The following is a 7,438-nucleotide window of genomic DNA, read 5'->3' on the forward strand; positions in this document are numbered from 1 at the left end:
TCTGGTATAATATCACTTTCTTGGTTAAGTTGGCTAATAGTTATATATAACAGAATTTCTAACTGGTGCTTTAACAAAATCAAGTTCTAGAATCTAGTAAGTGGTTAATTCCTATCTGGCTCAAATACCTGGCATTGGGATATGGATGTTCCTTGCTGTCACCCAACTTCTTAAAGGAGGGAAAGGAATTTTACTTTCACCTTTTATTTTGATAGTGGTGGTTTCTACCCATAAGTCACTCTCATTCACTTATAAGTGTTACAAAAAAAAGGAATATAATACATAAAAATATAATCTTAACCAAAACTTAAATTGTGTTTACAAAATAAAAGCTGAATTGGGATGTGGGCATCTGGATTGTGGCTCTGGCTTGGTGGTGTAAAAATTTCTGTCCCTCCATGAGTGCAATTTTTTCAAATTTTTTTTCTTTTTAACTTTTATTTTAAGATCAGGGGCACATGTGGAGTCTTCTTATATAGGTAAGCTCATCTCACAAGGGTTTATTGTACAGATGATTTTGTCACCCAGGTATTAAGCCTGCTATCCATTACTTAGTTTTCTTGATCCTTTCCCTCCTCCTGTGCTCTACCCTACAGTAGGCCCCAGGGTCTATTGTTCCACTCCACGTGCCCATGTGTTCTCATCATTTAGCTCCCACTTATAAGTGAGAACATGCAGTTATTTGGTTTTCTGTTCCTCTGTTAGTTTGCTCAGGTTAATGGCCTCTAGCTCCATTCATGTTCCTGCAAAGGATATGATTTCATTCCCTTTATGGCTGTATAGTATTTCATGGTGTATATATGCCACCTTTTCTTTATTCAGTCCACCATTGATGGGGCGTATAGGTTGATTTCATGTCTTTGCTATTATGAATAGTGCTGCTGCAAACATATGCATGCATGTGTCTTTATGACAGAATGATTTCTATTCCTTGGGTATATACCCAATAAAGGGATTGCTGGGTCAAATGGTATTTCTGTTTTGGGGCCTTTGAGGAATTGCCACACTGTTTTCCAGATGGTTGAACTAATTTACACTCCCACCAACAGTGTATAAGCCTTTATTTTTCTCCACAGCCTCACCAGCACCTGTTAGTTTTTTACTTTTTTATAATTGCCATTCTGATTGGTGTGAGATGGTATCTCATTGTGGTTTTGATTTGCATTTCTCTAATGATCAGTGATGTAGAGCTTTGTTTTCGTATGTGTTTTGGCTGCATGTGTGTCTTCTTTTGAAAAGTGTCTGTTCATGTCCTTTGCCCACTTTTTAATAGGGTTATTTGTTTTTTTCTTGTAAATCTGTTTAAATTTCTTATGATGCTAGATTTCAGACCTTTATCAGATGCATAGTTTGGAAATATTTTGTCCCATTCTGTAGGTTGTCTGTTTATTCTGTCAGTAGTTTATTTTACTGTGCAGAAGCTCTTTAGTTTAACTAGATCCCATTTGTCAATGTTTGCTTTTGTTATGATTGCATTTGCTGCCTTCATCATGAAATCTTTGCCCATACCTATCTCCAGAATGTTTTTATTGCCTAGGTTGTCTTGCAGGGTTTTTATAGTTTTGGGTTCTACATTTAAGTGTTTAATCCATTTTGAGTTGATTTTTGTATATGATGCAATTTTCTTACTGTAAAATTAGAAGATTTAAAGAATATAAATTCTATAGTCATTTCTAACTATGGAATGCATGTGCTCTTAACTTAGATCAAACTCCAATTGAATTTAGAAAATTTAGTCAACCAGGAACTAATTGATTAAACTTGCTGAATATTAAATGTAGAGAATTTTACTCACTCATACTTTTGTGTGTATCAATCACTAAGACCATATAATTAAGCAAAAGCAATGGTAGCTCTATTTTTTAATATACATTCAATTTTTAAAGAAAAATACAGTACCGAATACAATATGAATTAGCATATGCATTTTATACCTTGATGAGAGACCCCAGGTATAAAATAACACTTCTAAAATGGTATCTTAAAAAACTGTTTTATATATAGATATATTTTAGGAAGCTCCTGTGTTTTGTTTCTTGGTTGGCTATAAGACTGCAGAGTTGAACATTCTAAAAATAATCAATGACTGAGAATTCATTTGCTTTACCACATTTATAGATAATTTATGGATGGTTTTTCACTTCTCTAACACTCAAGCCTCAATTCATTTTCAAATACATGAAGTGTCATTTTAAGTATACAGTGGGCTCTTAATGAAATTTGCTGTCTTAACTTTTAAATGTTTCAGAGATTTTTATTTTAAGCTTGGTAAAAAAAAATCAGAGTAACCTTCATATGTTTTTTATATTCTATAAGCTGCAATTAAAGCACGTGATTTTTAAAAAAGAATTTAAATTTCAAACCATATTGCTTTATTACAGCAACAGAAACTTATGTCCTAAATCAAATGCCCTATAAAAATATTGTATTTTCACTTTTTGCAATTTTAACAAAAGCTGTCCATTTGAGTTAAAATGTCATTTTATTAGTAGTTTTTCATTATGTATACTTGTCATTATTTTTCCTTTTTCCCTTTTTTTTTTGGAAAATTTAAGATTTGCAGAAGAGAAATTACAGGAAACTATACTCTTTTGTTGTTGCAGTTGAATACTAGATTAATAGAATAGTGAATCCTCAAAGTTGACGACTGCATACTTAAACATCTGACTGTAGGGTCGGTAAATTCAGTCTTATTTTACAATAAAGTTTATTTAGATTGACTGTTTATGCAGAATAGCATCCTACTTTCTCTAAGTTTTCTTCTTTGACTGAGGAGGTTACTAAATTAAGCTGCTCACTTGTGAGGAAGATCTGCTGGTTCAATTGCCAGACCAATGGGCAGACTGCTGAAGCAGAGAAACCTCATTGTTTTAAAGAGGTTAGCAAACCTAATGGAAACTTGGTTACTGCCATATTCTCACAGACTTGAGATTTTCTCTTGCTTCCTTCTGGTATCCACCTTTGCTTCCGGCCTGATACTTTTAGAGAATTTGGGAAAGAGAATCACCGAGGAGCAGGGGCTCCATTGCCACTACTATTTCAATAGTGCAGGTGGTGTGCTATAGAAACTTGGAGGACGGGTTATGTTATTAGCCCCCATTTTTATCCCTTTGTTATAGGATCTTGGAGGGGTCGCCTTTCCAGCCAGAAAGCTCTGTGGCCAGTGGTGCCTTTGCCCGAGTTTTGCTTGAGCCTACTGGGCTCATTCTGCCTACTCAGCCTGGCAGGCTGTGCTCAGCTCAGGCTACCAGCCTGGATCCCACGCCTCCAAGGGAGACTGAGTCAGGCGTGGAGTGGCGAGAGATGTGTGAGCAAGCATCGGGTCTGGCCACACTGTGCAGTCAGACACACCAGCTGCTGCCACAGGGTGGGCAGCTCTAGGTGCTGGCATGGGCGCCAGCTGGACCAGGCACATAGCAAGCAGTTTCTCCAGCTGGCACCAGGGAATGTGGTGGTGCCTGGAAGCTTGGAGATGCCAGAAACCGCAGGGCTCCAAAGAGGTCGTCACAGTCCTGGCTTGGGGAGGTCCCAGGTCTGGGCTCCCCTAAGGGCTGCAGCTCTTCTCTCCTTCTCTTCCCCCTCAACATGGAGAGCAAGAGGCATGTTGCAGCCCTGTTTGTGTTACAGCAATTTTCGCCTCGCCATTCGGCAGGTCCTGAATTTTTGTCCTGCAACCAGGAAGGATGAGTTCTGCAGACAAGCGAAAGGTCAGCAAGATGAAGAGGAGCTTTATTGAGCTATAGAACAACTCAGTCTCTCGCAGGTGGCAGCTCCTTTCCACAGCCAGGGTGTCCCCTCCAGTGTTCGGCCCCCAGCAGAGAGGGTGGCTGCCCTCTGCAGCCAGTCCTCCCAACGCCTGCAGCTCTTAGCACAGAGGAGCCCCTGGAGTGTGTAGCTCCATTCTGCAGCTGGTTGTCCCGACGTCTGCTCAGCTCCGGGTGAGCTGAGGCTTTTGCTGTGCAGAAGCTCTTTAGTTTAACTAGATCCCATTTGTCAATTTTTGTTTTTGTTACGATTGCTTTCGCTGTCTTCCTCCCCTTCCCGGGAGGAAGTGTGTGCCGACTGGTCCATGAGCAGCCATGGGCGGGCCCAGAAAAGGCACCACAAGTTCCCATTCCAGTCCGGGTGACTGGCAGCCTGCACCCCAGCCTTCAGGCCCTCCATGGTCGGAAGGTGGAGCCTCGCTCAGGACCCACCTCCTTCCACCCAGGAATCCGTCTGCTTCCTGCTGCCTTTCATGGCACCGAGGCTGTAGGTGCCAAAGGGCGGCCAAGGGGCTCAGCTTTATGGGACAGGCTAGAGCAATGTAGTGAGGAACAGAGATGTAATCGTTGAGGGTTTAGCAATTTTAAATAGGGCAATAGTGACAGACCTCAATGACAAGAGGGTGTCAGGGTGGAAAATCAGAAGTGAGGAGACTTCTGGTTTCAGTTCTGACATGTAAAGGACTTGGAAGTCATTACTCTCATCCTTACAACAAGAAAAAGGCTGAATGAACTGAAAATCAGTGACTTTTCTTGGATCCATCAGATAAGTAAGGTTAAAGGGAAACCTGCCACCCTGAAGTATGGAGAGAATTGTGAATCTAGAGAGTTACAGAAGAGGCCTACTCACCTGGAGTAGCTGTTGCTAGAGACGTACATTAACATCAACCAAACAAATGGTCATTTTGTCAGATTGCTGGAGGCTGAGTGTGAACTAAAAGGCTTATGGTGTTGTGTCTAAGAACAAACCAACAAAGCAAGGTCACCTAGATTTTCTCCCATGTTATCTTCTAGGAATTTTATAGTTTTGCATTTTGCACTTAAGTCTCTGTCTAGAATCTTTTTATTTTCATATGGACGTCCAAATCTTACAATACCTAGTTTTGGAAACTATTCTCTTTTCTCCATTGAATTATTGCCTTTGTTTCTTTGCCATAGATTAGTTGACTCTATTTGTTTAGGTCTATATCTGGGCCACTCTATTCTGTTGTCTTGATCTATTTTTTCTATTCCTCCACTAACATTATGCTGTCTTGATTACTGTAGATATATGGTAAGCCTGGAAGTCAGATAGTGTCAGTCTTCTTTTTTGTTCTTCTTCAGTTTTGTGTTGACAATTCCAGGAGGTTTTTCAGTTGTTGATTCTTTTAGATTTTATACTTACACAACCATGTCATCTGTGGACAAAGACAGATGATTTATTTCTTTCCCATATATATTTATATACCTTAATTTTCTTTTCTTATTTTACCAGTTATGACATTTGGTACAATGCTGATAGGCGCGGTAAGAGAGAATGTGCTTGCCTTGTTCTTATTCTTAGTAGGAAAGCATACTGTTTCCCACCATGAAGTATAATGTTTGCTGTGGGTTTTACATAGATACTTTCTGTCAAAATAAGGAAGTTCCCCATTATCCTAGCTTGCTGAGAATTTTTATCATGAGTGAGTGTTAGATTTTATTAAATGCTATTTCAGCATCTGTTGGTATGGCTATATGATTTTCCTTTTAGTCTGTTGATGTGATGGGTTACATTGATTTTCAAATGTTGAAACAACTTTTCCTATCTGGGATAAATCTTTACTGATTGGGGTGTTTTTTTTTAATACATGATTGGATTCATTTTTCTAATACTTGTGGAGGATTTTTGCACCTATTTTTGTGAGAGATATTGGTCTGTAGTTTTCCATTCTTGTAATGTCTAATTGGCTTTAATATGGAGTAATACTGACCTGATAAAATGAGTTAGTAAGTTTTGCCTATGTTTCTATTTTTTTGGAAAATATTGTAGACAATCACTATGATTTCTTCCTTAGGTATTATAATTCACTAGTGAAGCCATCTGGGCTTGGTGCCTCACTATTATTATTTAGAAGGTTATTAAATATTAATTCAATATCTCAAGGCCTATTAACATTATCTATTTCTCCTCGTGTGAGTTTTGTAGTTTGTGTCTTTCTAGAAATTCATCCATTTTATCCAAGTTATCAAATTTGTGTGTAGGAAGTTGTTCATAATACTCCTTTATTATTCTTTTAATGTCCATGGAATTAGCAGTTTTGCCCCTATTTTATTTTGGCTATGAGTAATTTTGTCTTCTCTCTTTTCTTGTTTTGTTAGACTTGCTAGAGGTTTATCAGTTTTATTGATCTTTTCAAAAACACAGTTTGTAGCTTATTGATTTTCTCTATTGTTTTCCTGTTTTAAACTTCAATGATGTCTGCTATAGCTTTTATCTCTTTTTTTTTTCTGGTTGCTTCAAGTTTATACTTGCCTTCTTTCTCCAATTTCCTAAGATGAAGTTTAGATTACAGATGTATATATCTTTTTTCTAACACATGGATTCAGTGCTATATTCTTCTAAATACTTTTGCTGCATTACACAAAATAGGGAATTATAACTTGCATTACTTTTATTTAGTTCAAAATATCTTTGATTTCTCTTGAGACTTTTTTGCCCCACGTATTCTTTACGAGCATGTTGTATAATCTCCAAACAATTCACTATTTTCTATCTTTCATTAATAATTTCTAGTTTAATTGCTATTGATTTCTAGCATATTTTGTATGATTTTTATTCTTTCAGATTTGTTCAGGGTGTGTTTTATGGATCAGAATGTGGCCCACCCTGGTGCATGCTCCTTGTGAGCATTTTGTTGTTGGATGGAGTATTCTATAACTGTCAGTTAGATTAAGTTGATCAAAAGTATTCTTCAGGTCAGCTCTATTCTAACTTTTGTTCTGTGAAAGACATCGTTAACAATGAATGAAAAGGCAAGCCACAGACTGTGTGAAAATATTTGCAAAACATATATTTTATAAAGAATTTGCATCTAAAATATACAAAGAACTTTTCATATATAACAATTTTAAAAATCTACTTAAAACATAGGCAAAGATCCAAACAGACACTTTACCAAAGAAAATACACAGATGGAAAATGAACATATGAAAATATGTTTAACACGATTGCCATTAAGAAAATGCAAATTAAAGTAATAATGAGGTACTAGTCCATACGTATTAAAATAGCTAAAAAAAAATTCATGACAATACCAGTTTCTGGTGAAAATGTTGAGCAAGAGGACCTCTTGTTCATTGCTGGTGGGAATGTAAAATAGTGTGACTGCTTTGGAAGACAGTTTGGTAGCTTTTACGATTAACATAGTCTGAACACATGATTGAACAATTATTTTCCTGGATATTTCCCAAATTGACTTGAAAAATATCTGCAGATATAATTATAGTAGCTTTATTCATAACACCAAAAGCTGCAATCAACCCAAATGCCATTCAATATATGAATGGATAAACAAACTGTGGTACATCCATACAATGAAACATTACTTAATGATTGAAAAGAAATGACCTGTCAAGCCATGAGAAGGCTAAGACATCTTTAATACATTTTTGTAATGAAAGAAGAAAGTTTGTAAAAGTTACATGCTGTGTAA

The 7,438-nt window shown here is 37.2% G+C and overlaps 1 annotated feature.

The window, feature by feature from the left end:
• Positions 3,670-4,170: an enhancer, noted in NCBI's record as "H3K4me1 hESC enhancer chr3:1642422-1642922 (GRCh37/hg19 assembly coordinates)". NCBI's record gives its function as "activates a minimal SCP1, AML or CMV promoter by ChIP-STARR-seq in naive H9 embryonic stem cells {active_cell/tissue: H9 hESC(naive)}" and the evidence as "EXISTENCE:reporter gene assay evidence [ECO:0000049][PMID:30033119]".

Source organism: Homo sapiens, chromosome 3 (assembly GCF_000001405.40).
Source record: "Homo sapiens chromosome 3, GRCh38.p14 Primary Assembly".
Classification (NCBI taxonomy): Eukaryota; Metazoa; Chordata; class Mammalia; order Primates; family Hominidae; genus Homo; species Homo sapiens.